Genomic DNA, 19,101 nt, shown 5'->3' on the forward strand with positions numbered 1-19,101 from the left:
ATTGGTCAGCCATGAGAGATTAATTTGTGCTTAGCTGGCTGAGCGGACACAAGATAACTCAATAGCGGATGATGCCAGTGCATGAACCAGCAGCTTCTCTCGATAAGCCTTCCTACCTACTCGGGACCTCGTCCCTCCATAGCCTGCTTCTTTGGGAATTGCCAGCCAAGTCCTTTACTTTATTTACCTCATTTTTGCCTGCCTGGAGAAATTCAAACTTGCAGTTTTTAAGTTTCTTCATGGGCCATTTTTCTTACGGAAATAGAAACAGTAGCAAAGACACCCAGACTCTCCCCTTCTAAAGCAATGCATCAAAGAGTGCACTGGGGTATGTGGATAGCAGAGAAACTGAGCAAGGGCAAGTTTATGCATATCCTTCATCCTGCTCACATTGTTTATAACTGCAGTCAGACACAGACAGCAGGCTGAGAGTGATGGACATGGCGATGACAATGGCGATGATGGTGATGGGAAGACTTCTAAGAACTTAAAAAGCGTTTTACACAGATGATCTCATCTAATGCTATCTCAGCCCTAGGTGGTGGGTGCAATTATCATTCCCATTTTAGAGATGGAAAAACAGATATTTACAGAGGGCAAACATTCTGCCCCACGTCCAATCTAGGTAACTTAACCTCAGAGCTAACACTCTAACCCACAGGGCCTGGACATTCAAATGCACAAGTCAACCACAGATGACAGAGTACAGGACAAATTGGACTGGAGAGATCCATGCCTCCCAACTCCTCATCTCACAGATGAGAACTCCAGTTCAGTCCTTTTGCCTCCTCCAGAAAATACTTACCTGTCAAGAACTTTGTAAAAATGAAATGAGAGAAGGTTAAAAACATAACCAAGAAGTGCTACATAAATGTTTTCTACTGTCACTAGACCAGCCCTTAAACGCTATTTCAGAATGTATTACTCTAATAGAGTAATTTTTAAATACCTGGACATCAGAGCTAATTGGACATCAGACATTGGAGCTAATTCCACCTAACCATAGAAATGCACTGTGGCCTGGGTTTATGCCTGTCATACAGTTCCCTCCCACGGCAGGTACATTTGCCACATCCCAATACACTGCCAGTAAAGATAAAGTACCTTCTAATATACTTATAAAAGCACAGAGTGCAGGGGCTAGGGACTATAGAAGAAGGCAGGAGGCAAGGAAGCAAAGGGTTTTATTTTTTTTTAATGTCCCCAACTCCTCTAACCTGGTCCCTTTGCTTTGTTTGGCTGGTACGACAGGTGGTGACTCTTAAGCACTGTGTAGCCTGCTCTTGTGTCCAGATTATCCCAAGCAGTCTGAAACTTCAAGAGAATTTGCAGTAATGCACAAGTCAGGATTTGGTTCCCAGAGCAAAGCTGTGCTCAAAGGATTGGACATCAGAAACAAACCTAAAAAGAGCCACAAACACGGACCCCAGGCTCCTCCCACCCCCTCCCTAACTCACCTGTAGGGTTTAAAGAGATTCCATTTTAATGAAGCAGGATGGGCATAACACTTGGGAAGGAAAGGAAATCTGGCCTACCCCAAAGCAATTAGCTTCCTCTGCTAGGAAGAGACTGTGCTTGTGTCCTGAGGTTTTTATTTCATTTTTCCTCAAGGGGATGGGAAGTTCGCTGGTCTAAGATTCATGCCTTTCAGACTGCTCCTCAAGTGAGGAGGCCACGTGGCCCTGTAACCCAAATGCCAGGCCCTTGGTATCACCTTCTGCTCCTCTCAGAGACACCTTGATGTCACCTTCCGCTCCTCTCAGAGTCACTCTGCCGAGTCGCCCTGTGATGAGGACATTATCTGGACCTGTGCTAATACAGTGGCTACCAGCCACCTGTGGCCACCGAGCACTTGAACCTGGCCAGTCCCAACTGAAATGTGCTGTCAGTGCAAAATCCACACCTGAGTTGGAAGTGAATAAAAATATCTCAATTTTTTTACATGAATTACACATTAAAATTGTACTATTTTGGATATATTGAGTTAAAAAATGTATCTCCAAAATTAATTCCACCTTTTTCTTTTCAATTCTTAAAAAACATGGTCACACAAATATTTAACACTGTGTCTGTGCTTATCATATATACGCTATATTTCCACTGGACAGCACTGTTCTAGACACTCATCAGGTATGATTGCTCCATTTCCCAGCAGCATGTGTATCAACCAGGAGCCTGCTAGAAATACAGAATCTCAGGCCCCATCCCAGACCTACTGAATCATAATCTGCATTTTCAGAGATCCCCAGGTAATCTGCATGCACATTAAAGTCTGTGAAGCACTGCCCTGGGGTCTAAAACATTACTTGGCACACAAGAGGCACTTGAGAAATATTTGTTGAATGAATAAATGAGTTATGTCTAGGAAGCTGCTGTACTTGGGGGCACTCGGGAAAATGTGAAGGGCTGTCCCTGGCTTTCTCCTTAGCTCAGTTAATATTGATATACTCATCAGATTAATCACCTTTCATTTTAGTAGCTGATACGGTTTGGCTGTGTCTCCACCCACATCTCATCTTGAATTGTAGCTCCCATAATTCCCACATGTCCAGGGAGGGACCAGGTGGGAGGTAATTGAATCATGGGGGTGGGTCTTTCCCATGCTGTTCTCATGATAGTGAATAAGTCTCACCAGATCTGATGGTTTTCTAAAGGGGAGTTCCCCTGCATATGCTTGCCTGCCGCCATGTAAGATGTGACTTTGCTCCTCATTCACCTTCCGCCATGGTTGTGAGTCCTCCCCAGCCATGTGGAACTGTGAGTCAATTAAACCTCTTTCCTTTATACAGCACTCAGTCTCGGGAATACCTGGGTTATAAACAGACCTCCGGCTGAATGTTAAGCACTTTAATGACTGAGAAGCTGGGGAGTATGGGGCAGCATCTTTCAATTGCTGCGCTGAAGTAAAAAGGCTGAGACAAGGACAGAAGGTGGGGAAGGTGAGTACTCTGAGGCACCCAAGCTGCATAGCACTGCTTGTGCTGGGATCACAAGGTGCCCAGATCATCCAAGGGGTGTACCAGGTATAGAGGGGAGAAGAAGACCCTAGAACAGGTCAGACAGTGCAGAGAATGAGGGCAGGCCCTGGCCAGGAGTCAGGGAGAGGCTGGGCCTCAAGGCATACTGCAGTGTCCAGCAAATCAAAAATCTGACAAGGGACTGGCCTACATCCCTACTCCCCATTCCATTCCTTTCTAGACCTAAAATCTCAACACAAACGGAATGTCTGATCACTTTAGCTATAAAAACACATAAAGCCATATTTTTCCCCCTTAAATCAGAAGCAAATGCTAAGGGAAAAGGACTTCGTGGCATGCAGAGAACAACAGGCACAACTATTGTCTCTGTCTCCTGGCAGTCTCCCCCAGACATCTGCAACCCCCACTGCAACAACCTCAGACCAGAACAAGAGAGGGCTGGAAGGTCGGTGGGGAGCAGAGAGAAAAGAAAGCAAGGACTGAGAAATCCGGGGACAGGATAGATCAACGGAGAAAAGGGGAGGAAGTGAGAGGAAGCAGTTAGGTCTCAGAAGTTCCACCAGAAGCTACATGTGTGCATGGGAGAGGGAAAGGAGGGCAGGGGAGGTAGTGGAGAGAAATATGAAGGTATGTCTTAAATAAATTTCCCTTTTAATTAGCATGAGGAAAAAGAGGAATCTACGTCTGGCTGGAGGGCACTGTACACACAGGATGGCCCTTGTGCAAACTCAACTTCCTTCACCCCATTCTGGCAAAACATGGTCAGCTCTTTCTCAGCTTTGATAATTGTCCTAGGGAATAGTCTCCGCCAGGAGAGGTGGTGGGGAGACAGCCAGCAGGTTTCTATTAGCCAATAAGCCTCTCACAAAGGGGAAGGTGGTCGTGGGCACATGGAACTGAGTGTCGCAATCATCCTGCTGCCACCATGCTGGAGCAGCTTAGAGATCCACCTGAGTGAGCCAGAGGCGAGCCGCAGGAAGGGTACTGCAGAGATGTTCATGCAAATGCAGGGTGATCCCCAGGTCCCTATACCAAGCAGCAAGGTGCCTCTGACAAATGTTGCTTAATATTTTTTAAGCAAATCAACAAACCCCAGCTGGACTGGGTGGAATATTACACAGCAGGATCCAGGACTGAACTGAGGAAAGGGAGCTAGAATTGATAACAGATGCCAACAGGCCTTCAACAGAGAGGGAAAAAACAGCCTTCAACAGAGAGGGAAGAAACAGCCTCCTCTGGTGTCAACCTGAAGTAAGGTTCTTTTGACTTCGAGGCTGCTCTGATGAAAAACGAGGACTCTTGGAGGTATTCAGAGCCAGCCTCCTGCCAAACAGCATACTTTGTCAAAGTGGAATTGATATTTGCAAGCTCAAGGCCCTTCTTGGAGAGCATCTTTTGCTCGAAATGGCTGCCTCGGAGTTCTCAACCGCTGAGGCAGCTCTACCTAGTCCTTCATTTCTTACCTTGACTGGGGCAACCAGCCGTTCCACAGCCACCTCTGGTGTGAAACCTATAAGGATTCTCTCTTTTTATTCTAGAAGGGGTCTGGGTCTCTGGCATGCTGAGCGGCCTTCAAAACCACAGAGGGCCTTCTTTGATGCCATGGATGAGTGGGTTCTGACCGTCCTTATGCCCAGCATCCAGGGATTTGCACTAGCTCTCTTCAGGTCACCTGGCACATGGCCTGGGCCCCCTGCAGAAGCCCTTGCCACACAGGATTAGGAAATAAGACAGACTGACCAGGGGACTGATTTGTGTTCCCTTACTCTCAAACGATTTCAAAAGGAAGACCAGTTTTCTCATTCTATACTCACATTTTTCCTGAAGAGGAAAGCAACAGGACTTGGGTTTTTGCAAGTGGGAGGGCATAAAATGCATTAACACCATAGAAGTGCCTCTAGAGGGCTTGGTAATTACAGCCTCAATGTGTTCTCTACCTTCTTAAAAGGGCAAATGGAACTTCTCCTTGGAGTGTCTCTTCCCTTGTTCTTGAGACATAAATCAGGATAAAGGTGTCGAGAATGGTAAAACAAAAACAAAAACAAAAACAAAATTCAATGAAAAATCTGAAGCATCACTCATTTTGCGGTATTGTTCCATTTTTAAAATGACTGTTTAACATTTTTCCCCTTTTTTGGCATCTGATAGTACACATAAAATTCCAATCCTTTATTGCCCCCAAATTATTTATATATGCAATAGACCCAGAAAGAGAAGCAGAGGAAGTGAAGTGTGGTCCTCCGGCCATGACTTTTTGCCTTGGTTTTCCCAGCTATTAAAAGGGAGATATCATCATTCATTCAACAAGCATTTCTTGCGGACCCATTTTCCACGACAGAACCATCCAAACCAAGACACTTCTTCCTATTGTGGCAAAAATGAGCAACGTTAAAACTCCCCAGAATGCAGAGGTGACTCACGTGTTTATGTAAGTAAGCATTTAGATATGGCTTTGGAAAAGAAAACACACACCTAAAAGAGGCTACCAGCATTTGAATAAAGTGTGTAACCTGGGTGTTCAAAACTGTACAACAGTTTCTGTGTACTTTAAGTCACTATCCTTCATACTTCTTCCCTTTAAATTCTATTTGAAACTAAATAATATCAACAATACTTTAAGTAAGATTATGCTGGTGTTACTGATGAAATTATATGCAGGTCTGCTTGGCCTGTTCTCATGCGTAAGCCTTTGATAACTTGTTCCTAGGTTATCCAGTTCTGCTTACCTGAGTACCCACTTTATCCCAGGAAACGAGACCTGAACACTGTGTCCTGGTTTCATCTTTCCAGTGAGCCAGGCCTTCTGAGGCATTAGCGGCTCAGCAAGACCATGGAGGTGAGAGAGGCACAGGCACACTCCAGATGCAGGGTCTCTGCCCTCTGTCAAGAGTCACACGGCAGAGAGGACAAGACTCCTGTCCCGGGGGAACTGTTTTTCCTTTTGCCCCACACCCCAGATATCTTCGTGACAGCCCCTGCCCTGAAAGCCCGGTGAGCGTCATGGCGGAGAAGCCAGCCTGTTTCCGATTATTCTGCCTGACAGGGACTATCTGCTGCTGTGTGCAGTTGTAGAAATGTCATAAGCTCAGGACTCAGGACACTTTGACGTCGAGTCCAACAGGACCCATAGAGTCCCCCTGAACAATTCTCATCTGTGTGGGAAGCCTAAGGGGTGGTTTTAAGTAGGGGCTGGCAGGAGAGTGAGGTCTGGGCTGCTTCTTTACGGCTCTTCAAGTGCCGGCCATTTCCTGGAGTTTCATGGGAGTCAAGACTTACTTTTGGCCTCAGACACAGTCAAGGATCATCCTGATGCAAAAAACAAAATCACCTTTGAACCTCTTCCTCCACACCATCTTCCACTTTGGTTTTCCGCTATGCCTTTGTACTGGGGACAAAGACTATCCACGAATCCTTACTTTAAAAACTGAGGCAGTGGCTCTGAATCATTCCCCCTTGGACACCCCCACACATCTGAACACCCTCGTGTCCCAACACCACATCTGCTGAAGTTGACTGGACCTGAAATGCTGGAGGCTCAGTGTTTTCGGAAACTGCGGAGAGTTCTCCTGCCACAATTCTCTTGTTGTCGTCAAAAGCAATTACATGTTTCAGATGATGAAAAGCACTGTCATGAAAAGCTGGCACAGCAGCCAAGGAGACAGATGTATTAAACCACACGGCTTCTCAGAACTCCCACTTACGTTGGAGCTCAGCACAGAGATGAGCATGGTGATATCCCCCCGTCTAACATCCTCCCATTTGGATTTAATGCATGAGGCTCGTTTCTGATGAGGTGCCAAATTCTTTCGGTGGACAAACACAAAGTTGCAGAATTCAGTGATCATACAAGTCCATGTCCTCAAACGAAAATAATAATACTATAAATGCAAAGATGCTACCATAAAAAATACAGTAGGTGGACTTTTGTGAGTCAACATAAAAAAATCCAGCATTTCTAACTGGTAGCATGAGGAGTACCAGTCTGCAGGATGTTAACGCACTGATAGGCTATGGACAATATATTCCACACTTACGGAAGTGGGGAAACTATAGGTCAGACAAAGCTACAGGTACTTCTTTCTTTCTTTTTTCTTTTTTTCTTTCTGAGATGGAGTCTCCCTCTGTCGCCTAGGCTGGAGTGCAATGGCATGATCTCAGCTCACTGCAACCTCCGCCTCCCGGGTTCAAGTGATTCTCCTGCCTCAGCCTCCTGAGTCGCTGGGATTATAGGCGCACACCACCACACCCGGCTAATTTTTCATATTTTTAGTAGAAACGAGGTTTCACTGTGTTAGCCAGAATGGTCTCGAACTCCTGACCTAGTGATCTGCCTGCCTCAGCCTCCCAAAGTGCTGGGATTACAGGTGTGAGCCACGGCACTCGGCCCAAGTACTTCTTAACTGCAGGACTTCTCAGAGGCTTTTAATATGGTAATGAGTGCTGTGCAGTGAGATGACTCAAATCAATATATAGCCAACACGTTTGATATGACCACAGAACCCATTTCCCTGAACACTTTTTATCACCTCCTAGAGCAGGGGTCAGAAAACTACTGCCCATGTGGTCTGATCTGGCCACTGCTTGTTTTCGTAAATTTTCACTGCCCACAGCCAACCTCATTTGTGTACATGCCGTCCATGGCTGCTTTCACACTGCAGCCGCAGCGATGAGTCATGAGACACGCACCCGTGGCTCACAAAGTCTAAAATATTTACTCTTTGGCCCTTTACGGAAAACGTGTACAAACTTTGTCCTCTGAAATATAGTTTGGGAACCTACTTCACTCATGATATCAATAATTCTAAAAAATTTCAAACAATTTTTAAAGTCAACATTGAGAAGTTTTCCATGGTTAGAATTTAATAATTACAGTCAATAACTCTCTTAAAGCATCGTGACAATAAAGTAGAAGGACACTGTGTAATTCTATATGGTCTCTGTCTTCAGGGAGCTCCCAAGCTAGTTTGTGAAAAAGAGAACTCAAGGCACAAACAACTGGGGGGCAAGAGATGTTCTAAACACTAAGAGGAGGCAATATGGCATAGTAGAAAGAATGCAAGCATGTGTAAGAGTAAAACATACACAGGGCGCAGAGTCACAAGAGTCAGGGGTTGGTCTTGGCTGTGATACCTTCTCCTGCGATAAGAGTAAGACCTGCTTTATTGAGCACTTACTATGTGCCAGGCACCATCCCAGTTGCTTTCCATGAAGGATTGCTCTTTAATTCTTATCATAATGAATAGGTACTATTATTATCCCAGTTTATGGGTGAGGAAACCAAGTCTTAGGTTGACTAACTTATTAAAATAAAGCACATACCTAGTAGGTGGTGAACAAGAGCCAAAACAAGTCTGTTGGTCAGCTAACCACCACGTTATAGTGGCTGCTGCTTAGGGGCAGCATATATCCTCTGCATTTCCCCAGAGGTGACAGAAGTAGTGGAGAGGGTAGTGCTCTCTAGGCTCTGACACACAGCCCATGTTTGCTGACTCAACAACCACACAACGTAATGCTATGGCACCTCAGGTGGCAGGGAGGGTATCGTGGGCTGGACTGATCTTCAGAAGGCTGCATCTGAGCAGGGTGTGGAAGGATGGCAGAAGGAAGAGGGGAGTGAGGCACTCAGGGTAGACAGAAGGTGATACTGCCACATCCTCCACTCAGAAGGAATCTGGAAGGTTTTGACAAATATGTACATTTTGGAGTGGGAACAGCAGAAAGTAGGGGCTGGCTACCTACTTTCCACTACCCCTATCCCCACTCCCCCTAGGGGGTGAGGCAGAGATAAGCACGCTTTGTGGGGCACACTGATCCACAAACTTGCAAGCCTGAGCTCCACTCAGCAGCAGCCTGGGCAGGATGAATGGTGGTGTGCAGGTGTTTGCGGCATGCATAGCTTCTCTTTCTCCTAGAGTCAATCCAGTGATCCCCTGCGAAAAGAATCCTCCACTTGACCTGAATGCTCTGTATTGGCACCTTCTGGACAGGAATCCTATCGGGTATTTCATCAAAGCATCCCACAGCAGTTTTAAGTGTGGCTCCATGAGAGTAAGACACCAGGACAGCTGTGCCACCTAGTGATGCTTGCCTGTACTGTCTGCATCCCAGAGAGTGGGAGAGGCTTCGGAAAGGACTGGTATTTGCTATTTTTGGCCAACACTTCTACATGCAAAGGAATCTGAAGTCTCCGCCTGGGCTTCAAAACATTTCTTGTGGCCTCACTGACCATTCCCGTGAGCCTCAGGGGACATGAGTGTCTTCAAGCTAAGAGGGAGCAGTCCAACTCTGCAGCACGAATTACCAAGGAACATACAACAGACACTTCCCCTCCTCCATTTCTGCCTTTCAGCAGAAAGGGAGGGTGCACCTCCTCTTACATCCTATTGTGGCTGCAATAACCTGCTTGCTTTCTTGTGCAGCCTGGAAGTCTTATGCACACAGCACCTGCTGCTTTCTAAACTAAATAGAAATGCTATCGTCTGCAGTCAGAAACAGAAAAGACAGAGGATGCCTGGTGAGGATCTGTCCTACATCCCAGAGTGCAAGAGTTAAAGGTGCTAACCATTAGTGTTATGTGGGTGCAGCTTATGCACACAGAGAATGATCAGTGTTTTCATTTAATAGGAACTCTCCTCCACTCCCAAACACAGCAGTGGAGGGAAAGGCCTTTTAAGCCTTATTAAGGTTGAGGAAAAACTCTGGTGAAATTATACTACATATTTTTGTTTCTTTCTCTATTTCAGATTCCTTGCAAGAGGTCCACTGGAAAGCTAGAATTCTAGAAGTCAGGATGGGAAAGCCTCATACGTAATGCTTTTGCTCCTTTGAATTACAGTTAACTCCAGTGGTGCCACTGACACTGCTTTCGCGTAGTGGTTCTAGTATCGTACGATGCTGATACAAGTAAGCTATGGCTATGTGTTTTCCGTAAGAAAGGAAAACATCACTCCAGGAGAGAAATGGAGGATGAATGATATTTATCAGATTGTAGCTTCTGAAAATGGATTTGCTTTACCAGATCAAAGACAGCCTGTTTCTACACATCACCAATTCTGTGGGAAACATTCCAGATATTCTGAGAGCGCATTTTGAGACTGAGTAGTTGGTTCCCTCACTGACTGTTTCTACTGTAAGTAATAGTATATTTCCATGCACTCTTGATTGGTATTATACAGTTCATCAATAAGACAAAAGCAGAAAAGAGGTACAAAGAGACCAACAGGGAAGAAAGACGCGAAGATGAAAACTTCAGCAGCATGCCACGTACAGTTGGCTTGGATGTACCCTGCACAAAAGTGTCCAGCCTGTACCTCGCTGACCTAGCTGTTCGCCGGTACAAGATTAAGGAAGTGACAGCTTTTCCTAATTCACTGAAAGTGCTTTGGGACTAAATTGTAGCACAGTATAAGTAAAGTATCCTAAGGGGAAAAGAAAACTCCATATTCATGATCCTTAATCTATTTTATTGATTAAAGATTTAGCCAAATACATCACTCCTGCTTTTGTCCCTGTAACAACCAATGCTGTGTTATCAGGAAGAGATAAAACCAGACCTGATCGGAGCTACTCAATCACTTGGTCCTGAATCACTCGCTTTTCACCCAAAGTCAACAGTCTTGATTCCTCATATTTTAAGGTGTTCATTGTAATGTACTGTTACTGTTTGCATACAGCTGTCAGCTGCAAAAACATTTTTTTTTTTGAACACAAAAATCAGGCTTTTGCCCCCCAACACCCACCCCCTTCCCGGGAGACTCCATGGTAGCCTACTGACTCACACTGACAAAAAGGACAAAGGCCCTGGGTTGTCTCTGCCGCCTGCCTGTCCAGATGTAATTAGGCCTCACACAGGTAACCCCTTGGGCAGCAGAGAAAGCTCAGCGAGAAGGCACGGGGTTGTGAATACAGTTTCACGATGATTTCCATGGCTGCCATGAAGGCTCTGATCAGCTACAAATGGGCAGATGCCAGGATGACCCTCCTGATTTCCTGGTCCCTCCTGGACCTGGATCTGGATCTGGATCTGGTGTCCAGGGAAGAGCAAAGACCAGGAGAAAGAGGTAGAATCCCAGCAACAAAGCCTGGGTATGCGGTCTTTGAGAATGCCTCAAGAAAACAAATTCTTGCTTCTCCCTTTTCAAGGGGCTACAGGGAGACGACACAGCTGATGGGTATTTTTGTAGCCAGATATCAAGTAGTGTTAACGTTGGGCATAGGTTCAAACAAATGTGCTCCGTTAAGAATCTACACAGCATGAAGAGTGTTTAGACTTCATGATATATATATATATAAACATTCTTCAGGGAGGGTTTCCTTCAGAAAATTCAATACTCAAGGAAAAGGAGTTAGGGACAGTTTATTTTGGTTATTTTCTTTGTTTGTTTTCTCCAAAGCTATTTCTTGAAAAAGGAATCCTTTCAAAGTAAATAAAGGAATCCTTTCAAAGTAAAATAGACTACATTACATTTTTATCCCAAAGCTGCTGGGTGGTAGGTGTGACTTGGAAAACTGTAGTTTGTTTCAAGCAAATCCACTTGGATTGAGCATGAAGGAAAATAAAATTAAAGGATGATGACGAATAAATGGAAATGTTTAAGGATCACTTTGGCCAGCATCTTCATACTTAATTGTTGCTTTTACATGTATGTAGTTTTTCCTGAACACAAGAGGAAACGTATGGTAATGTGAGGAACAGAAAGAATAAGATGGGAAACTAAACATTTGAAAAGAACTTTCATTTTCTGAAAAAAAAAAAAAATGTTCTCCCATAGATGCAACAGAATTAATCTTCATTAGTTAGCACAGCTATACTCTTCTTCTTAAATGTCTCAAATGATACTGTGACTTCCCTTAGAGAGGAGGAAATCAGAGGACAGCAGGAATAATTAAGACAGTAGGGCTAGGGGCATAGCAACAGGATTGGAACCCAAAGCCCCTGGATTTCTCATCCTCACTGAGGCACAAGAAACATCAGGCCTTTTGATTTAGGCTCCAAGCAATAATTAGCATCTAATAAGGTCCCTTCAATGAGGATTTTTACATTTATTTCCTATCACTAGTATATTATTTTAGATACTCTAATTACTTTTGAGGTGCTGGTGGTATATGAATAATATAGGTAAATGACACTACGAGACAAGGCACTGTTTGTAAATGGCCAAATTCTTTGGGCTGTACTAATCAAACAATGGTTGACTCTCCCTTTAACTTTCATCATGCATTTAAAACAGTTTTTTTTTGTTTTTTGTTTTTTGTTTTTTTTTTTTTTGGTGGGGGAGCAGTGAGGCAGCGTCTCACTCTGTTGCCCAGGCTGGAGTGCAGGGGTGAGATCACGGCTCCGTGTAGCTTCCACCTCCTGAGCTCAATCAATCCTCCCACCTCAGCTTCCTGAATAGCTGGGACTACAGGTGCACACCACCACGTCTGGCTAATTTTTGTATTTTTAGTAGAGACAGGGTTTCACTATGTTGCCCAGACTGGTCTCGAACTCCTGGGCTCAAGGGATCCACCTGCCTTGGCTTCCCAAAGTGCTGGGATTATAGGTGTGAGCCACCGTGCCCGGCCTAAAACACAGTCTTGAACTTATCTGGTTAAGTACAAGGTGCTAAAGGTGCCACTTGACCATCCTAAGCCTCCTCTTCTTTTCCCCATTTCTCACTTTTTAAAAATTCGAATTTATTTTTTGGTGTAAAGCTTAATAGCATGGGTTTTAACGTTTTTGAGGGCTGCTTTTCATTCAGAATTTTCACCACTCTTCATCGCAGCAGTTCCTGGAGTAAGCATGGCTTCACTAAGGGACCGAGGCCACAGTGAGAATTAATATTTATTTTTTGGCTAATGTTTACAGAGTGCCTTAAGCTGTTCAGCAAAAATCACTTATTTTCCCAAAGAAAACACACTCATCTCACTTCTCTACCGTCTCTCCCGCCCCTACAATGCCTTGCAGGTGTGTCAGGTTCTTTAGGTGTTTTCGATGTTCAGGTCCTGTGCCAGGCCATTATTAGGCCCACCCTACAAAATGACTTTAGCAAAACGGAGGCTGCTTCAAAAATTCCAGCTGGTTTTTCAAAGTAATACTAAGCAAAAGTACACAGGCAGAAAAATGTGATCATCCTGAACTTTTATCACACATCAAAATTTCCCTCCTATATTTTTAGAACCATTTCAGTGAAAAGTGTAGAATGGCATCGCTAATGTTTATAGGCAAAGAACAGAATCATTAGGATTTGAGACACGTTTTCAGAAAAGTGCCTTTAAATAATTAACGTCATGACACTCTTCCTCAGTTCTTCATCCAGCAGAGTAAATGTCTCTTGACAGGTAATAGTCCTTTATGTGAAGCAGTAACTCCAGTTTGGTCAAGGTAACTAGTGTTATTGAAAAGCATGCTTTAATTAAATGCAATGTCTTAGAAAACCATGCTGTTTACAAGCAATAAACAACTCTTAAATATTCAATTAATCAGCTATCAACCCAAATTCATAAAAGACCCACATACTACTTCTATGCTTTAAAAAGGAAAAGAGACATATTAAGAATGAAAGCAGATTAAAGAAAAGAGCTAATCAAAAAATAAGAAACCAGGAAATGACATTGTCAATAGTGAGCACCCGTTTTGGAGTGTGCGCTATGAATTTGCTGGCTCCGACAGTAAGTATTCCTACATGGGCTTTCTCATTTAGCACTACCCTAAATCCTGTGAGGTGGTTATTGGCATCCTTCCATTAGATGAAGAAGCTGAGGTTCAGAGACGTTAAGCATCTTGTCCAAAGGCAGTTGCTCTTAAATGGAAAAACTAAAATTCCTATCTGGAACTCTCTGAATCCCATGCTCCTTCCACTATTCACAGTGCCTCTCAAACAGAAGAAAGTAAAAAAGGGGAGAAACTGAAGAAGTCAAAACCCAGGATTATTCAGAAGTACGGAATTAACCATATTTTGGGTAAATATGTGTTTTCCAGCCATTGGATCAACCATGATGTGATTCAAACTGGCTTTTATGAAAGCCAAAGATACCAGATGGACCATCCTTCAATCTGGTGTTTTTGTCATCTAAACATGGTTCTAGAAATCAAAACAAATAGAAACATGAAAAGCATTTTTTTAAAATATGGGCAATCTCTATTCTAGAATAAAGGCAAAGAATGAAAAAATAATTATCAAAACCATTCCTAGAATAGACAGGGCCTATTTTAACATTTAAAAAGGCAGACACCCGTCCAGTTTCCTTCCGCAAATAGTCACCAATCACTACTTCTGCTGAGTACAGATAAAAATACCTGATGTGGTTTTCCAAAGGGCTTCTCACAGTATTTGGCCTATTCAACCTTTGCATCTGCCTTCCCTCTTGGCTCCTGACTTTTGTCAGCTGTACCATGAAAAGGCGATGCCTTTAATGATCTACATTTGACAAGACTGGAAATTAACCTTTTAGTGAATCTTTCACATTCAATGTGAAACAACAGAACCGGTGGTGATGTGACATTTTTGGTAGGTGCGTACCTCAAAGGCGCCTGCCTTCAAGATCTCCCTGAACACCCAAGGGTATCTCAGGCTGCCAGGTCTCCTTAGACTCGACAGGCGAAGGGAGAGAGAGGAAGGGAGAGAGAGGAAGCCTGGGCAAGCTCTTGGAACATCTACATAAAATGAAGGTATTCAAAGCTGCTTCTATTTAGCTCCTATGCACTTCATTATACCTGGCTTTTTAATATTCTAGTATAAAAGAGAAATACAGGAAAGAGTCAGAATATTGTTTCTTATTGTCAAGCCCCCCAATGCAGAAATACACAAACATTTGACTTTTATGCCCCACACTCACACGTGATCTTTCTGCCAGCATTTCTGGGAATGATCATGTTTAGAATTTCTGCTGGGAAGGCAAGCGCCTTCAGCATTTCTTTAGATGTCATGAAGCATTTTTAAACTGAAAGCACATGAAATTTGGAGTCAGCTCATAACACTGACATGTCATAGTGAAAGTAACAACAAATACTTACTTGTCTCTAAGGTACCATCTTTCTTGCACCCCCACACTCAGTGTGTAATGACCACCTCTGAGACACAGACATCTATAGAAACTTCTTGTTTCTTTGTCTCTTTCGTTTCTCCTCAACACAGGGAAGCAAGGGGAGGAGAAACCATGGAAAAGTGCTAGCCTTTGTACAGGGCCACCATCAAGATCCAGCACTTAACCCTGAGCACCCCACTCATACTTACTGGAGAGCAATGATAAATCTAAGTAGATGGCTTGAAACTCTAGGACTTCTAAAATCTCTCTCTTCATTCAGGAATCCATCCTCCTGGAAAAAAGACCACTACGGATGGGGAAGTTTGAAGGACAGGCATTTAGACCTGAAAGGCATTTAAGAGGAGATTCAGCAAAAGATCCTGTGGGACTAAGGATTTTGCGAGTCATTCTTACATGAGTGTGGCTTGCTGCTGACTGAGTAGGATGTTTTCTGCTGCTCAGTCCTCGCCCCTTACAGGCTTGAGTAGTTGGGGAGGCCTCCTGAAAGAGGAAGGACTTTAATCAGACTGTGATGAGGGCAGGGGGTCCCCTGGTAGGGAGGGGAGCAAGAGCAAAGGAGGAGATAAGAACCCGCAAGGTGTTGTGAGATTGTGAGGAAAAAGCACTAGTAGAAAGGTGACTTTTAGATGAGGGAAATATAGATCAGAAAGGCAGGGTGTCGCCAGGCAGAAGAAAGCTAGAGTTTTGGAGTTCTTCCATGGGGAGCTTCTGAGCCACTCTTGGCACCCTTAACCATTGGATGAGTGAATGTGCAGGCGGTGCCAGTTCAGGAGGAAGAAGGAAATGTTTTAGGGAACATTAATCTTACTACAGGGTCCTGGATAACTTTGAAGGAAGTCAGCTCAGGGGTGAAGAAATCAGCTTAGAAAGCAAGGAACTTAGCCCAAGTAGGAGGTATTAAGGCCCTGGGTTCAGGTCTGTGATAGAAGTAAGCAAAAGGGGTAATCTGAAGAACGTCAGGAAAGTTACAGACTAATTGAATATCAAAGGGTGAGTTGGGGAGGACAGAACAAAATTGCTGATAACTAAGCCTTTGTGCTGGAGTGAGAAGAAGAATGATGCCAGTGTTCACAGAGCCAGGGGATTCAGGAGACCCTCTGTCTAGGGCCTAGCACTTTGTATCTTAACCAGATAGAACACACTGTATCATCACACTGTATCATAACGTGGCAGTGCTGCTCATTCCACTGTAAACTAGGCAAGGACAACGTCTCTATGTTATCGGCCTTTCTATGTTTAAGCATCCAAAGCCCAACGCCTAACACAAAAGGGGTGGTCAGTAAATACCTGTTGTACGAGGCAGGTTTCATTTTGGAGGAAGATGAGGTAGTCATCTGTAAAATATGGTGAATTTACGGTGATAAAGCATTTCCACAGGCATGATAAATGTTGAAATTTTGGAGAGTGAGGTCATCTTTGATTTCTTCCTTAATTACTAACTACCTCTGCCGTTCCTCTAATAGTGCACAAATACTCCTGCATCTTCCTCCTAATGTCTATCAGTCATGGCCTTTCCTTTCCAATGGGCAGAGGGATGTTACAGCTCTGAAGACAGATTATAGTCTCCTACAGAGAGTGCAGAGAGAAGATAAGAAAGCCAGTGGCTGAGCCTCAGGGGATGCCCCTATGTAGGCAGAGGAGGAAAAAGAGGAATGTCATTCCCAGTTGCTGTAATAGAGTCAAAACAACCAAGATCCTTGCCTACTGAGAGAAACATAAGATGTAGGCCAATGGGGCCATGTGTAGATGATCTCAGGTATCAGATGTTCACTGCACACCTTAGAGTGATGTTTATTCAACTGTAGATAATATTTAATTGTTACTCTTTGAAAGATAGTTCACTTTAAGTTCCCTGAGTAGCATAGAGTTATTCAAATGTACCTATTTATTACAAGACCATTGTATAAGGAATTATGAATGTTTCTGGAAGAATAGGGATTTGTAGAAATCTTCCTTGCTCCATACAAAATCTGCTTTGAGATACGTTATTGCCATTTCTATCAACAGAATCTTTCCTCCCAGTAGGAAATTAGAGCCCAGGATTTCCTGCTATTTATGAGTTATAATAAAAGATTCTTCTTCTCAATTTTTTTTTAATGTGTCCTGTCCCTAAATAGGGCTCAGCCTGAAAGCTGGGAAAAGGACAGATGGTATCAAGGAGAAAAATGACAGTGAATTCAAAGTTCCCGTTTTGGCAGCCAATCACTCTAATCAAGAAAAAGGGATTTGGTTACTTTCAATAATAAAATAATTCTTAAAATGTAAAGGATGGAAAAAATGTAAAGGATGAATTAAAACAGTTCCACACGAAGAAGAAGAAGAAGAAGAAGAAGAACAAGAAGAAGAAGAAGAAGAAGAAGAAGAGGAAGAGGAAGAGGAAGAGGAAGAGGAAGAAGAAGAAGAAGAAGAAGAAGAAGAAGAAGAAGAAGAAGAAGAAGAAGAAGAAGAAGAAAGCCTTTCTGACAAGCACCACCCAACTACTAGTTCCATGGAGGTGGAGGGGTTTCCGTATTATTTGATTTATCTTCATTGCCTAGAGCACAATGTGGTTCCAGATCTCAGTCAAACCCAGGAAATGAATAGATTGTAAACTAAATCCTTTCAGGGAGAGACAGAGTTCACACTTCTCAGGATCTCCACCACGCCTAGTATCCTGCTGGGCCAAAGTGCGTGCCTGGCAAACATGTCCCTGGTACTTGGACATCTCTTTCCCGCGTTCCTCTTGGCTCTCCTTCCTTCCACTACTCATTCTGCTCCTGGGAGAGTTAATGCATTGCAGGAACCCTTCTTCCAGGCCTGGTTTCAGGTGGCTGTCATGACAGCACCCCCTGAGAGCAGGCACTTGCCATGGGTGCCTTTCAGGTACACCTCAGGGTAGGGGTCGGGGGCAAGGGTGACCGTGAGGTTCACAGCAGGGGATGAAGTGAGGAGACCCCATCCAGGTAAATAACACCTCTCCTGACTCCCAACCAATGTGAGCTGCTCAGGGAAACTGTGGACCCCCTCACTGGGGTGAGGTTCTAGCTTTCTCATGCCAAGGACTCTTGGGGAAGGCAGTTTGGGATGCGCTTCAGTGATCCAGCCACCTCACTCTTTCTAGTGAAAGGAGAAAAATGGCTGGAATCTTACATCAAGACAATGGAAAACAGGGGTGTCCAATCTTTCGGCTTCCCTGTACCCCACTGGAAGAAGAATTGTCTTGGGCCACACATAAAATACACTAACTATAGCTGATGAGCCAAAAAAAAAATTACAAAAATACCTGATAATGTTTTAAGAAAGTTTACGAATTTGCACTGGGCCACGTTCAAAGCCATCCTGGGCAGCGTGCGGCCGATGGGCCATGGGTTGGACAAGCTTGATATAAAATGTCAAGCCTGAATCTAAAAGCAGGTATCCTCAAAGTCCTCACGGCTGAAGAAGGAGCTGCTGTTCTTCCTCCCTGGAATTTGGCATTAAAGGGCATTGCAAGGGCTGGGCGCGGTGGCTCGTGCCTGTAATCCCAGCACTTTGGGAGGCCGAGGCGGGCGGATCACAAGATCAGGAGATCGAGACCATCCTGGCTAACATGGTGAAACCCCGTCTCTACTAAAACCACAAAACATTAGCCGGGCATGGTGGCGGGCGCCTGTGGTCCCAGCTACTCGGGAGGCTGAGGCAGGAGAATGGCATGAGCTCGGGAGGCAGAGCTTGCAGTGAGCCGAGGTTGTGCCACTGCAGGCGTGCAGGGAGACAGAGCGAGGCTCTATCTTAAAAAATAAATAAATAAATAAATAAATAAATAAATAAATAAATAAATACAAGGGCATCGCAGGAAGTCCTGATGTCAAGGTAATGCGGCCAGGCATATCTGTTGTTGCTGACCTGAGAGCTATGGATGCTGTGAGCAGGGGCTTGGTAGGCCAGGATAGACAAACTTCTGACCTCGCCCCTCATTCTAAAGTGTAATTCCCAGATTTTCAGTAACTTACGTACCAACCTCTAAGCCCCTTTATGGTTGATTCATTCCTAGGTATATTAAAAATAATTCAGGTTTACATAATCTATCTCTAATTGCAAGAGTTAAGAGGAAATTTAAACTACTGCTTTAGTTGTT

At 44.1% G+C, this 19,101-nt stretch overlaps 1 protein-coding gene and 1 long non-coding RNA gene across 14 annotated transcripts in view, besides 1 other annotated feature; both read right to left on the reverse strand.

The window, feature by feature from the left end:
- The window catches only part of RORA (RAR related orphan receptor A), a 741,019-nt gene that overhangs the window by 554,311 nt on the left and 167,607 nt on the right, over positions 1-19,101 (reverse strand). The gene's annotated exons all lie outside the window — the stretch shown is intronic.
- LOC107984805 (uncharacterized) overlaps positions 1-19,101 on the reverse strand; it is a 129,290-nt gene that overhangs the window by 36,307 nt on the left and 73,882 nt on the right. The gene's annotated exons all lie outside the window — the stretch shown is intronic.
- Positions 7,370-7,529: a silencer, noted in NCBI's record as "silent region_6501". NCBI's record gives its function as "represses an Ori minimal core promoter by ATAC-STARR-seq in GM12878 lymphoblastoid cells {active_cell/tissue: GM12878}" and the evidence as "EXISTENCE:reporter gene assay evidence [ECO:0000049][PMID:35858748]".

The sequence above is a fragment of the Homo sapiens genome, chromosome 15 (genome assembly GCF_000001405.40).
Source record: "Homo sapiens chromosome 15, GRCh38.p14 Primary Assembly".
Lineage (NCBI taxonomy): Eukaryota > Metazoa > Chordata > Mammalia > Primates > Hominidae > Homo > Homo sapiens.